The sequence below is a fragment of the Homo sapiens genome, chromosome 3 (genome assembly GCF_000001405.40).
Source record: "Homo sapiens chromosome 3, GRCh38.p14 Primary Assembly".
NCBI classification, from domain to species: domain Eukaryota; kingdom Metazoa; phylum Chordata; class Mammalia; order Primates; family Hominidae; genus Homo; species Homo sapiens.
The window spans coordinates 44,794,545-44,809,696 of record NC_000003.12 but is presented as its reverse complement, the minus strand read 5'-3'; the positions used below and the strand labels follow the sequence as shown (position 1 = coordinate 44,809,696).

Below are 15,152 nucleotides of genomic sequence, written 5' to 3'. Positions count from 1 at the left end.
ATTTTTTTTTTTTTTGCAGAGGTAGGGTCTTACTATGTTGCCCAAGCTGGTCTTGAACTCCTAGATTCAAGCAATCCTCCTGCTTCTGCCTCCCCAAGTGTTAAGATTACAGGTGTGAGCCACTATGCCTAGCTGTATTACTTTTTTTAAGTTAAATCCCTTTCTCATACCATTCAAAAGAAAAACAGTGGATACACAAACACCTCAATGTAAAGCAAAATTAAAGGCAAAAAAGTCATAAAGATAAAAGGTCAATAAACCTGGCTACATCAAAAATATAAAACTTCTATATAACAAAAGCATCACATGCAAAGATGAAAGACAAGCAACATGATGGAGGAATATATTGGCAGTACACCTAACAAACAAATGCTTATTACATAAAAACAAAATCTGAAGAAAAATATAAAAAAACAATAGTTTTTCTTTTCAGGGAATAGGATATACAAATGGACATGAACATATGAAAAGATATTTGAAATTAGAGAAATGAGAATTAAAACCTTAACAACAAGATCTCATTTTTTACCCATCAGATGGTCAAACATTAACAAGCATGACAATCCCAGTTCCTGCGGACAGTGCTGGGAAAGGAGTGCATCTATGCATCTATGCTGCGGGAACAGGGCACTAGGAGGGAGCTTCAGCTTGACTCACTCAAATGCTAAGACATCCTAAAATGACCACTTCTCCTTTAACGGAATCCACCCCCAGAGAATGCACGCACTGGAAACCATCTACTTAAGCCATAGAAACCTAGGGTTAAAATGAGGTAGGTACCAGTTAATATGGAAAGATCCAAGGCATATCCCCCAAGGGGATATCCCTCATGGTGCTTCAAGCTCTATAATTCAAGCTCTATAATTCTTCTGTCCCTCAAAGGAGATGCCTTGGATCTTTCCACATTAACTGGTATGAGGCTCATAACCCTTGAGCCTCACGTTAACTGGTATGAGGCTCATATTCCTTGAGCCTCACATCCAAATGAGGCTCTAGGTACCAGTTAATGTGGAAAGATCTAAGGCATATCCCTGAGTTAACAAAAGCATATTGTGGAATAACACATGAAGAATGACCGTTTTTTTTTAAAAAAAAAAAAAAAAGCAAAACAATACACAATCTAGGAAACAACTCTATGTGTTTTCTCAGTCTGTATATATTAACAGTACAAAAATGCTAAGAAAAAGGATTAAACTACCTCCAGGGATTGTGGGGACAAAGGATTATATTAGATCCAGATTGGAAGTGATGCTGAAAAGGAATTTTAACTTTAACTTGAAATATGTGTCTTTCTTTTAAACAAAGAGAATGTATTCATATAGTAGTTGTCCAACTAAAACAACAACAAAGACTCTGAATTGCTATGCCCCTCCTGGCAAACCTAATCCTCTGAGTCCTGTTTGCTCAGTCATAAAAGGAAGAAGTAGGACGAGAATGCCGTGGTGCTTCAAGCTCTATAATTCCATTGTGCTAAGGGGCTACAGACACAGAATTATAAAACATTTGGCAGTATTCTGCAAGTATTTTTCAATAATTTCTTACAAAAACTTCAAAGACCACCTTTTTTAAAAAGCAACAGTAAAAAAAAATTCTGGTCAGGCATGGTGGCTCACACCTGTAATCCTAGTGCTCTGGGAGGCTGAGGCTCCAGGAGGATCACTTGAAGCCAGGAGTTCAAGGCTGCAGTGAGCCATGATCATGCCACTGCACTCCAGCCTGAGTGACAGAGCAAGACTCTGTCTCTAAAAAACAAAACCAAAAATAAATAAATAAAATAAATCAAAATTTAAAAATAATTTTTAAATTTCTACCTGTATAGGAAAAAACCCAGCATTTTCCAGGTTGAATAAATCATTATATATCCACATAACATTCTTGAGCTGCTGCCAAAACAAATAAAAAATCAAAACAGAAACAAAAAGGGGGAGAACATTTTTTCCCCTGCAGACATGGGACAAACTCTAAAATATTGCTTTAAAACACACACACACACACACACACCCTCAAGCTGTAGAATGATGTGTATGTTATGCCACCATTTGTGTAAAGTGAGAAAATACTTGGTGACATTGATTGACTTGGTGACACTGATTGCCTCCAGTTCTTGGTTGGCTGGAAGAACAACAGAAGGAAAGAGATTTGCTACTAAATGCCTTTGAAAATTTCAGTCACAGGCTGGGCGCGGTGGCTCACACCTATAATCCCAGCACTTTGGGAGGCGAGACGGGCGGATCACCTGAGGTCAGGAGTTCGAGACTAGCCTGGCCAACATGGTGAAACCTCGTCTCTACTAAAAATACAAAAATCAGCTGGGTGTTGGGGCAGGCGCCTGGAATCCCAACTACTCGGGAGGCAGAGGCAGGAGAATCGCTTGAACCCAGGAAGCAGAGGTTGCAGTGAGCCAAGATCGTGCCACTGCACTCCAACCTGGGCAACAAGAGCAAAACTCCGTCTCAAAAAAAAAAGAAAAGAAAGGAAATTTCAGTCACATAAATTACCTATTCAAATGAATACAAGTAGTCTTCCATTAAGTGACACAAAAAGCACCACTACTAAAAATAATCATTATAAATAAACATCTATTTATATTCTAAGACATATAAGGAAAGGTTTTCGGTCTTCTCTATTTCTTTCTTTTATTGAAAAGAACTTGAGGCCAGCGCAGTGGCTCTTGCCTGTAATCCTAGCACTTTGGGAGGCCGAGGCAGGCAGATCACGAGGTCATGAGTTCGAGACCAGCCTGGCCAACATGGCGAAACCCCATCTCTACTGAAAATACAAAAATTATCCGGGCATGGTGGCAGGCGCCTGTAATCCCAGCTACTCGGGAGGCTGAGGCAGGAGAATCGCTTGAACCTGGGAGGCGGAGGTTGCAGTGAGCTGAGATTGCACCACTGCACTCCAGCCTGGCCGACAGAGCAAGACTCTGTCTTAAAAAAAAGAAAAGAAAAGAAAAGAACTTGAATTCAAGCTGGACTTGAATTCCTGGGCTCAAGCAATCCTCTTGCCTCAACCTCCCAAACAGCCGGGACTACAGGCCTGCACCACCACACCCAGCTAAGGAAAAAATTTTTTAACCTTCAAAAAATTGGATACAAAAGCTGAAATCAGTATCACCTCCTCAACCTTTTGTTTTCCTTGTGTACTTCCTTTCTCTCTCCTCATTCTCAGTTGTTCACACATTTTTTTTTCTTTTATGAGGGATGTGGTTATTTAGGACAAAACCCTCTCATGTTATTTCCAGTGGCACCTGTGATCCCTTAGCGGTCTTTGCCCATTAGGGTTTCTATTCTACTGAAAACTTTGAGGACATGTTATATTGTAGTAATAGCTGCCATTTTACTGATATCTACAAGGTACCAGGCAGCTTATCTATCTCATTTAGTACTCTAAAACTCTGCAAGTAAATTACCTTCATTTCCAATTTAGAGAAAAGAAAGATAAGGCTCAGAAGTTAGGAAACCCTGACTAAAGTTAATGGCACATTCGAATTTGATTGCAAATGCTGAATTCTTTCCTACCCCACCCTACCACTGGGGGGATACATCAGTGGGATTGCTAGCAGTAACCCAAAGACCAGTGTGACACCGGTGTTAATTACCTGCATGGGATGTCATCTGCATCTGGAGATAGACCATGCAGACTCTCTCCATTATTAATAAAATGACATTGCACTGATTTAAGGTGGAGGTATTGTTCAGATGACCTACCTTAAGTGTTTCAGCATGAATTTTATTCAGCTGAGAAACTTCTTGCCGCTTGCAGGCTTTTGTTGCTTCCAAAAGGTTTTCAAGATTAAGGTTCGCTTTTTGCAAAGACTGAAGCTCTGATTCCAATTCTAGCTGCCTTTTCCTAATAGATATTGTAAAACGGAGTATTTCAGGTAATAAGTAATGTCAAACATTTATAGAATACTTTACAGTTTATGCTCTCACATAACTTTATAGTTATCTCTAAATCAGAGATATTCTCTATTCTCTCAGATTATTCCCATCATTCTCCAGTTCAGTAAACTACAGCTCAGAGACTGTTTAAGGGATTCAACTAGTAAATGGTAGGGCTCAAATTCAAAAGCCCAAACAAATAGTCCATGATTATACCATATGTGATATGTCATTTTTGAACCAAACATTTGTTTATATTTTAGGGTAAGATTGATCTTAGTTATAATATGAATGTGATTTATCTTTGTTTTTACATAGTGAGAATCAAGTAGGAATATTAACAAACCTATACTTCCTAAAAGTCTTAACAACTCTGATTATCAAATTTAAATTTAAATAATTTACTATGCAAGTTCAATAGACTCTCAACAGGAAAAAACTGCTTAAAACACCTGTATTACCTAGTTCATTGAATATATTAGTAAAGAGCTAGAAGCATGCTCTTTCTCTTCATGTCAAAGTAGTTGCTGCTATGAGAGTTTAATATTTAAAGTAAAATGCCCAATTGAATTATCGATATTAACACTACAGCAAATGAACACTGAAAGAAAATAAGTGTGCATGCATGTGTATTTAGACTTTACCTAGTAAGTTCTTTGAATTCTTCATATTCTTGCTTTGAATTATTCAGCTCTGTCTGAATTTGCAGGAGTTGTGCTTTTAACTTCTCAGTGTTTGCAAACAAACATGGCTCTTTCTGAGCTTTAGGTGAAAATCCTTGCTGATCTGTTAATAAGAAAACAATCTCAGTCTTTTTTTTTTTTTTTCTGAGACAGGGCCTCACTATGTTGCCCAGGCTAGAGTGCAGTGGCTATTCACAAGCATGATCATAGTGTACTAAAGCCCCAAATTCTGGTCTCAAGTGAACCCCCTGCTTTAGCCTCCCAAATAGTTGGGACTACAGGTGCATGCCACCATGCCTAGCTTTACAACTTCAGTGTTTGACAAGCAAAAATAACAGGACACATTTTCTAAGTTCTCTGTCAGGTATCAATTTTGGGCCACAAGGAGGAAAAGTGAGAAATGGGTTGGAAAGCGAGCCCTAAAATACAAAAGCTTATAACTCAGCAGAAGGCACAGGATGTGACACAGTGTGCCAAAGGGGATTAGAAGTCATGTTTAAGAAGCAGATGCCACAGGATGGAGAAGTGTAGTTAAGGCAACACCTTTCCCATTAGGAGAAAGAACAAACAATGACGAAAGTGTGGCACGCCTAATGCTAGACAGAGAAACAGCAGCCAGTGAATCTTGTAGGAATTAGTGCTAGCAGCTAATGTTAACAGCCAAGGAATTATTTAGAAAAGGAAACAAATAGCAAGGGCAGCAGGTTGTAAGAACCCGGTATCATCTATCAGGTAGAAAATATTAATTTTCAGGAAATGCCTAGAACACTGAATATGTTGAAGAGAGTCCACTGAGTTTCAGTGTGGGAAAAGATCATGTAAAAGTTGTTTAGAGAATGATCAATGTTTAGAAACTGATGAGATCCAGACATTAGTATCTTCTGAAGGGAGTAAGTCAAGGTATTATGGAGGCCACAACAAAATGGCCAACAAAATAAAGGGCACTGTAGGGAAAAGTAGTTTAAATAAAACAGAAAACCTAAGTCAGGCGTTGGGGCTCACATCTGTAATCCCAGCACTTTGGGAGGCCGAAGTGGGTGGATCATTTGAAGCCAGAAGTTCAAGACCAGCCTGGCCAACATGGTGAAACCCCATCTCTACCAAAAATACAAAAATTGGCTCGGTGTGGTGGTGTGTGACTGTAATCCCAGGAGGGAGCCTGAGGCAGGAGAATTGCTTGAATCCAGGAGGTGGAGGTTGCAGTGAGCCGAGATCGCACCACTGCACTACAGCCTGGGTGACAGAGTGAGACTCCATCTCAAAAAAAACAACAGAAAACCTGATAGTAATTTTGCATCTAATATCTTAAGTCTCTCCCCAACCCAGTTACTGTGACTCTTATTATTCTATTCAGTCATAACAGAATGGAAGAAGGCTTAAAAAATGAAATTTTAAAAAGCAAAGAGACAGTCTTCTTTATGAATGCAGAATAAAAACATTAGAACTTTTTCAATTTCAACCTAAAAGGAAACCAAGGCCAAGTCTATGATAAAAGACCGTGAAAATATTAACTCTAAGACTGGGGCAAACACAGACTTTGTTACCAAATCCCAGGGTATGAACACCAACAGCTGTCAAGACTGTAAGGCAGATTTAGTATTAACTAAACCACTTTTCACATAGTATGCAAACTTATGAAAGTAGTATGTAACTAGAGACTGCATACATTGGTAACCACAATACCAGGACCCAAACACAACATCAGGACCCAAACACTGTGCTATGAGTCTGACCTTTCTATATCTCTTATACTGCACAGGACTAATTAGATTGATAAACATTTCAACTCTATTTTTATTCACGTTTGATTAGTTAAAGACTTTTCATTTCAAATACTTTAAACAGGAAAATTTAGTAAAAATTTAACATAGTATCTGAATCAATCTTTTTATCAATAAAACAAATACAATGAGTATTTTCTCGTTATATCTATTAGCTTACGTAGTTTATGCTCTGTGATTTTTGAGAAAAAGAAAAGTTTAGTAAATACCTTTCTATAATATAAAAGAATATGTGTATAAGACATTAGCATAGCAGGCCTGGAGGCTAAAATGAAGACCCTAGTCACAAGGCACTAAAAATGCTCTTTAAAACAGCCCCTTCCTACATGGCACGTATATACAACAATCATTTCTTACTTTTGTCACTTTTCTCCATGCCACTTATTTCAGAGAAAGCTTTTTCTAGTTTTGCAATGGTCTGGGCATCCATTTCTTGAGCTCTTTTCACAGGCTCTAATAATCTCAGTCTTCTATTCTCCTCCCTGAGGGAATGATTTTCCATAGCATACTTTGCAACTCTGGGGTGGTGCTCTATCTGTGACATAGAAGAATTACACGCATTATATATTTACAAACATTTCCTTAGTGAATTAGTTCCTCTAAAAAGCCATTAGAAAACTAGGTATGCACATGCACTACTGGTGGTACCCTTCTGCAACCACCATGGAAAGCAACTTGGCATTTGTGATCAGTTTGAAAATATGCATGTCCTGTAACTCTCCTATTCTCAGTTGGAGTCTAGACCCTTGAAATGTTCACCCACCTAAGGAGGTAAGCACAAGGGTGTACATTGTGGCAGGCTTTTCATGCAAAGGAGACTAGTTAAATCAACACACTGAAAAGAACAAGGACCAAATTAATCTTGTCAACCAAGATTAACTGAAAAAGGCGAAGTGCAAAAAAGTGTACAGGAGAAACAAAAGTACAAATATCCACCCATATTAGTTTGAATATTCATTAAAAACTCCAGAGAGATAAACAAGAAGCTGATAAGAGATTTTGGGTTTTCCCACAATGTACCTGTATGACCTATCCATTCTCCCTAAGGAAAAGGAAAAACAACAAAAACGTTAAAAGGCACAACCCTAAAGAGCCTACTGACTCAGATAACCACAACTGCCCACTGGGTGAAATTCTGCGTGGCCTGCTAGAGTAGCATACTATGTAGCAATGTCACCACAACTTCTTCCTTCTCCCCTTCTCTTCCCTTTAACTATTTTAAAAAGACAGGTAAAGGAATTATGCAATCACACTGTCAGAAGAATTCACTTAAAACAATTTCCATTGTATTAAAGAACAAGTACTTGCTGACAAACTTAGATTTGCTTTGAACTTCTTTTATTTTTAGAAATATTATAGATGCCGTATACTCACTTGTTCTCGCAGAGTTTGAATCTCATTCCTTAATTCTGAGAGCAAACGATCCTGCTCCTCAGGCAGAAAACCTCCCCGGGATTCCTTGTGGAGCTTTTCCAAGCGTATTATTTGATCCTCTCGGAATTTCACAATCATTTTATTAGATTGAATAAATTTTTCCTTTTTGAGGGTGAGGTCTTCTAATTGGGTAACTTTTTCTATCAGAGACTTAAAGAAATTCATAATTTGGTTAAACATGAAAAATAATTTGACTTCCCTAAATTTTCGTAAGTCCAGCAACAAATACTAATTTCATATTTAATCTTAAAGGCAAAATTTGATTTTTCATAGCCTTCCATTACTTTATTGACTTGGTATTATTTATTTCACTTAGTAAGGCAATAAAAACCACACAGCAAAAAACTAACTATCTTGAATCTCCTTTATTACTAATTCCATTTCCTACCTTCTTTTCCTGTTCAGATTTCTTAAAGAATAACATTGCTTCCTGGAAATACTCCATATAGTTAGTCTTCTTTTTGTCTGTAATTGATCCAATAAGAAAGGGAAGATGAAAAAAAATATTTATCACATTGCAAAACCAAGAGAACAGATAGCCTTTAATTGATTGCTCTCAACTAATCTAAAAGAATGAGACTGTGGCCGGGCACAGTGGCTCATGCCTGTAATCCCAGCACTTTAGGAGGCTGAAGCAGACGGATATCTTTCTTGAGGTCAGCAGTTCGAGACCAGCCTGGCCAACATGGTGAGACCCCCCCCTCCCGCCGCCCCCGATCTCTACTAAAAATACAAAAAAATTAGCTGGGCATGGTGGCGTGGGTCTGTAGTCACAGCTACTCAGGAGGCTGAGGCAGGAGAATCGCTTGAACCCAGGAGGTAGAGGTTGCAGTGAGCTGAGATCACACTGCTTCACTCCAGCCTGGGTGACAAAGAGAGACTGCGTCTCAAAAAAAAAAAAAACAATGAGACCGTCATCACTAGATCACGGATTTCAAATTAACCATTCCACATATTAGTCGTTCTTCAAAGAATAAGTTTCTCTTTATTTAGTTAATATGCACAATAGATTACACATGGTGTAACAGAAGTAGAAGTAGATTTTTTAAAAAATTAGAGGAGTCCCAGGGTGCTGTGCACCTCTTAAGATCTGTTAATAATTCACCCTCTTGCCTTTATGGATTTCCAGTTAATTAATTCTCTACTAGCTATTCTTTGAAGAAAAATAAGTCTCTCTTATCCTATAGTAAACATATATAGATTACATATGCTACGTAGAAGTAGATCTAAATGAAATTAATCTCTTTTTAGCACTTATACATTATTCAAAATTATTTTAATTCCCCCTTCTCACTGCCTATGGTATCTGTATCTGATTATAAACAAACCACTATGTTCCTATATAGGAGAAATAAGCAGAAAGAGATACCTGCAGAAAAATTTGGGTTGCCTTATTGTGTTGTGTCTATCACCAAGGGCTCTTAAACTATTATTTGTACAGTCTTCCCCAAGATAAAGGACTGTGTGCTCATCCTACCTCTGGTCAGGAAGCTTTCTGGTGGTGTCTGTCCTGAAGCAAGCTCCGCCAGTTGTTCTTTGAGCCTCTTCACTTCAGCTTGGAGCTGGCTCACATTTCCTTGGGTGTCTTCATTTACTACTGCCTGTTCAGGAATTTTTTAAAAAGCATTAAAATAATGCTTTTTGAGTAGTATAGTCCTGTGTTTACATTTGTTTGGTATGATTTGTAGTGATGAACATCAAACAAAACTTCAAGACCACATCATAGTCAAAAGGACACAGGAATCACAGTGTGCTCAAGTGGGGAGGAAGCTTCCTTTTCTTGTGCCTTCAGACCTGGAGCCAGAGAGAGACAGCCCCAGCCAGGCTCTCTGCCCCCCAGCTGACTAGCCCTGAGCTTTTAGGCTGGGTCACCCTTAGGATCCGGGTGTGTTCACCTAATACTTCTTTCCCTGAGAACGACAGCCTTCCCCCACCCTCCCAATGGAGAAGAGCCAATACCTCAGTGAGTATCATTTCCCTTCTTTCCTAGCTCCCTACGGGGAAGGAGCCTAGCCTCTAAGTGCATGATGACTTGCAGGGTGGGCTTGAGCTTGGCAGAAGCAACCTTCTCCAGAGGAATCCGACCTTTATTTTTTAACAGCCCTCTTGGAAGGAGGGGTTGGTTTGACACTTCCTTTTTTTTTTTTTTTTTAATTTTTTACCACACTAAATGATTATCTTCATTTTCTTAAAGAAATGTCTTATTTAGGACAACTTCTAAAAGGCTAAAGGACTCACAAACAAAATGTGCCACTGTGGGGCAGGATGTCAAGAGTGGGGCAGGTCACACATGTGCGCCACTGCACTCCAGCCTGTTGACAGAGCGAGACTCTATCTCAAAAAAAAAAAAAAAGTTGATTAATTAAAAAAATAAAGCTTTAAAAAGGTCCACAAAGCCTAAAGGGTGATAACGAGTGCCAACAGCTGAGTACCAACCAGGTCAGAGGACTCAGTTGTGAAATACTCAGTACTCCAGCAAGGAAAAAACACCCTGTGACAGCCCCAAGGTCTTCTGTATTCTCGCTGTAAGCCCAATTTGCTCACGGAAAAATTTAAATAGCACATCCTTAAACAAGTCCCAGATACTCTGGCACTTTCCACTGATAGGCTGCAAAGGGCTTACCATTGAGAGTGACTAGTAGAAGGCTCTTGGTTTTGTTCTTTTGTGTGTTAAGCAGCCATTTCCAGTTGCTTCTGATTCTTATGGCCAGCCTCATTACAAGGTACTACTGCACTTCTGACATCACTGTCCCATCAGTGACTTCATAATTCTAATTATTGCTGCAGTTCTATATCTCCAAAGACTTCTAGTAAATCTTAAGAGACTTAGGGTCAGGAAGCTCTAATGATTTTTCCTCCTCATCTTACTAGTACTCCATAGTCCAAGGAAATAAAATAAATGACTAGATCTATAGTCTTCTGATTTACCCAGGGAAAGGGGCAACATGGACCTCCTGATTTACAGCCAGTTGGTCTGAAAGCACAGATAGGACAAGCTGGGGCTTGCAATTGGCATCAGAAGTTGGGCGCAGTCTTGTAGGACTGAGCCCTGAACCTGTGAGATCTCACCCTATCTCCAGACATAAAGTGTCAGGATGGAACTGAATCAGAAGACACTCAGCTGATGTCTGCTGCAGAACTGATTGATTGGCTGTTGGCAGGAAGAAAGACTCACATACTTAATTTGCTTTCCCTTAAGAAAAAATTTGTCAGCTGGGTACAGTGGTTCACACCTGTAATCCCAGCACTTTGAAAGGATGAGGCAGGAGGACTGCTTGAACCTAGGAGTTTGAGACGAGCCTGGGCAACAAAGTGAGATCCTACCTGTACAAAAAATAAAAAAATTAAGGCCAAGGCAGACGGATCACGAGGTCAGGAGATCGAGATCATCCTGGCTAACACGGTGAAATCCCGTCTCTACTAAAAAATACAAAAAATTAGCCGGGCGTGGTGGTGGGCGCCTGTAGTCCCAGCTGAGCAGAGATCGCACCACTGCACTCTAGCCTGGGTGACAGAGCAAGACTCTGTCTCAAAAAAATAAATAAATAAAAAATAAATAAAATAAAAATTAAAAAAATAAAAAAATTAGCCTGGCATGGTGCTGCATGCCTGTAGTTCCAGCTACACAGGAGGCTGAGGCAGGAGGATCGCTTGAGCCCAGGAAGTTGAGGCTAGAGTGAGCTGTGTTTGCACCACTGCACTCCAGCCTGGGTGACACAGCAAGACTGTGTCTCAAAAAAAAAGAAAAAACTAGTCAAGCAATAACAACCATAAGATCTAACCTAGGTCTCTAATTACATGTGTGATATAGAAGGGTAGGAAAGATAAAATAGAAATTTTGCATACAATGAGAAATAAATAAAAGTTAATGTTAATATTAGGGCAATCACAAAAATGGCATACTGTAAGCTTTAGTATTTTTCTCATTTATTTAATGAAGTATACGCCAGTATTTTACCTTGTTTTTAATCAGCTTGGCTCTTTGAGCAAAGTTAAGTGTTGATAGGGTTTCCCCAAAACACCTGGATCCAGGATGAACATTTGCAATTATGGCTGTTTTGGCATTACCTCCAAGGGAATCCTGTTTAATGATAGGAATGAACATATTTTCGGTGAGAAATCACAAGACCTTTTTAAGCAAAGAAAATGTATACTCTTGCCACCAAGGCTGAGAGACTGTCCCACTATCAACTTTAGCATAACCAAAAGGAGCCCAGGAACCCAAGGATCTACTTTACCCGTAGTAAGAAGGTAAGTTTGGAGTCTCTGTAGCAAACATGTCTCTGTTTTCCATTACCCACGTCGACAAGTGCTGTAATCACTTGGCCCAGGCAGCTCAATGATCGATTTATGTTACCTGCTTCCTAAAGTGTTGACGGAAAAGAACAAAAATTTAGGTACGTTGGTTACTCTTTGGTATTTTGAATGAAAATATATCTAGCAGAGGAAAATTCTGGATGAAAAGGCAAGTCAGGGACAATGTTAATAAAGAACAACTATTCAACAAATAAAAAAGAAGTGCTGAACTATCCCTAACCTTTTCCTATTTGATGTACACTGTAATTTTAGTATTAGAAGACAAACACAGGCTGGCACTGTGGCTCATGCTAGTCATCCCAGCACTTTGGGAGGCCGAGGTGGGCAGGTTGCTTGAGCTCAGGAGTTGGATACCAGCCTGGGCAACATGGCAAAACCCCATCTCTACAAAGAAATACAAAAAACTGCTGGGCATGGTGGCACATGCCTGTAGTCCCAGCTACTTGGGAGGCTGAGGTGGGAGGATCACTTGAGCTTGGGAGGTGGAGGTTGCAGTGAGCTGAGATTGTGCCATTGCACTACAACCTGGGTGACAGAGTGAGACCCTCTCTCAAAAACAACAACAAAAAAAGACAAACACAAAAATCATGCAAAGAAAAAAAATATTAATGTCACTTCATGATTGTAATAGTTTGAAACCGAGCTATAAAGACCAGAAAAAAATAGGGAAAAAAAAGCTAGAGTAGTGCATTAATAGGTACTTTTTTCAATCCTTTTATGCTAAAATATTTAAGGGTATAATGCCTAATAACTCACCCATACAGCCCCCAAAGCCACTGATGAACTTATTTGAGGAGAATATTCAGTTTAATTCTGTAAAGGATAATAAAAACTACTTTAAAACAGAAGCTTGGTGGGGGGAAAAAATGAGCTAAATACGTTACATTAGATTTTTACTGTAGGTAGCATATTTTGAAAACTGGGTCTGCAGTGGAAGGAGTATACAAAAAAGAGAAAAAGTCAAAATTATAATGCAAGATGTACTGAATTCAGAGTCACTGCTGTTATCATTCAGTAAATCAGAAAGGTGGTTAGTGGCATGGTTGAGAGTACTGTAGCAGCTCGGTTTGAATCTCAGCTCTACCTTTATTAGCTGTGTGACTTCGGTTTCTTTAACTGTAAAATAGAAAGAATAGCACCTACTTCCCAGAGTTGTTGGGAAGGTTAAATGAATTAATATATGTAAAGCATTTTAGAACAGACTTGGTATATGTCCTATTATAAGCATATGCTTTTTTTGACACAGAGTCTCACTCTGTCACCCAGGTTGGAGCACAGTGGCACAATCACAGCTCACTGCAATCTCGACCTCCTGGGTTCGAGGGATCCTCCCACCTCAGCCTCCCAGGTGCTAGGATTACAGGCATAAGCCACCATGCTCAACCCATATGCTATATTTATTAAGCCTCATATCTCAATAGAAATATGAGCTTTAGGCTGGGCGTGGTGGCTAACGCCTGTAATCCCAACACTTTGGGAGGCCAAGGAGGGTGGATCACCTGAGGTCAGGAGTTCAAGACCAGCCTGGCCAAAATGGTGAAACCCCATCTCTATTAAAAATACAAAATATTAGCTGGGTGTGGTGGTGGGCGCCTGTAATCTCAGCTACTTGGGAGGCTGAGGCAGAAGAACTGCTTGAACCAGAGAGGCAGAGGTTGCAGTAAGCCGAGATCATGCCACTGCACTCCAGCTGGGTGACAGAGTGAGACTGTCTCAAAACAAAAAAATATGAGCTTCAGATTGCCTGAAACTGCCTCAAATGTAGGTCAGGCGACTCAAATCCTCACTTTTAATGAAAAAAGTAGATCTCTTCCCTCATCCTTTCCAATTCCTCTCCCCTTGCCCATGTATATTCTAAACTATAGACTCTACAAATATTTTATTGACAATTCGTATTACTATATATATATATATATAAACACATATTGACAATACATATTACATAGAACCTCTGGTCCCACTGTTGATACCTTAGCCTAGGACTAGATACTTAACCCTTCATACCTGAAATATTAAACAGCGTAAGTGGTCATCTTTTTCTGTGGGCTCTCCCTTCTAAAATCTTAACAGCAGTGGGTCAGATGACTAAGTTTCTATAAAACAGGCTTTCTTCATGAATCACTTAGTTGCTAAGAAATGTTAAGTGTTTCCCAGTATTCGCAGAGTTGATACAAACTTGGCCTGGCACTCCTGGTCCTTGATAATCCGGGCCTGCTTGCCTCTCTAACCAACCCATCCATTGAGCCATGCTGAAATGCCAAATGCTACACTCATTCTGCATCCACAATAACCCTTGAGATGCCCCCCTGCCAGGCATGCATTTCCTGTTTCTCTCTCCCTACCGAAATCCTTCACAAGTCAAGAACTACTTCTTTTCCACATGTTCCACAAGCAGTCCATATTGCACCCTTCTTCCTCTGACCCCTGTTGTCTCTTGTACCCTTATCCCCTCTGGTATGAATTAAAACATTTTTGCTACTGACAGACTTGCCCTATCCCATCTATGTTCACTGTTCCACAAAAGAAATCTCTGTTCCTTTTCAATAGGAACAATTTCTTATTTCTTTGCCACCCTCAAAACACTTAGCTTGGTATGGTCATATATCAGTTAACAACACGGATACATTTTTTTTTCTGAGACAGAGTCTCTCTCTGTCACCCAGACTGGCGTGCAGTGGCGCGATCTCAGCTCACTGCAACCTCGGCCTCCCAGGTTCAAGTGATTCTCCTGCCTCAGTCTCCCAAGTAGCTGGGACTACAGGCGCGCATCACCACGCCCAGCTGACTTTTGTATTTTTTTAGTAGAGACGGGATTTCACCACGTTGGCCAGGATGGTCTCGATCTCCTGACCTCGTGATCTACCTGCCTCAGCTTCCCAAAGTGCTGGGATTACAGGTGTGAGCCACCGCGCCCGGCTAACAGGGGTACATTTTAAGAAATGTGCTGTTAGGAAATTTGATTGTTTTGTGGGCATCATAGAATATACTTATGCAAACCGAGATGGTATAGCCTACAACATACCTAAGCCATGTGGTATAGCTATTATACTCTT

General features: G+C 39.8%; 1 protein-coding gene across 16 annotated transcripts in view; it reads right to left on the bottom strand.

Annotated features, from left to right (window-relative positions):
* Positions 1 to 15,152, bottom strand: part of KIF15 (kinesin family member 15) — a 106,894-nt gene that overhangs the window by 58,991 nt on the left and 32,751 nt on the right. For 9 of the 16 annotated variants that reach the window (XR_007095708.1, XR_007095709.1, XR_001740214.2 and 6 more), the window contains 9 exons: positions 12,021 to 12,146; positions 11,741 to 11,863; positions 9,260 to 9,383; positions 8,171 to 8,247; positions 7,723 to 7,932; positions 6,706 to 6,883; positions 4,529 to 4,670; positions 3,711 to 3,852; positions 1,812 to 1,880 (listed from right to left, as the gene is read on the bottom strand). Coding sequence is in view for 11 of the 16 variants with exons in the window: in XM_017006884.3 (XP_016862373.1) it covers positions 1,812 to 1,880; positions 3,711 to 3,852; positions 4,529 to 4,670; positions 6,706 to 6,883; positions 7,723 to 7,932; positions 8,171 to 8,247; positions 9,260 to 9,383; positions 11,741 to 11,863; positions 12,021 to 12,146 (1,191 nt within the window). In the remaining 5 variants the exon portion in view is untranslated. Of the gene's footprint in view, positions 1 to 1,811; positions 1,881 to 3,710; positions 3,853 to 4,528; positions 4,671 to 6,705; positions 6,884 to 7,722; positions 7,933 to 8,170; positions 8,248 to 9,259; positions 9,384 to 10,405; positions 10,503 to 11,740; positions 11,864 to 12,020; positions 12,147 to 15,152 lie in introns of those variants that run through there. The other 7 variants (XR_007095710.1, NM_020242.3, XM_011533964.4 and 4 more) reach the window with 3 other exon arrangements.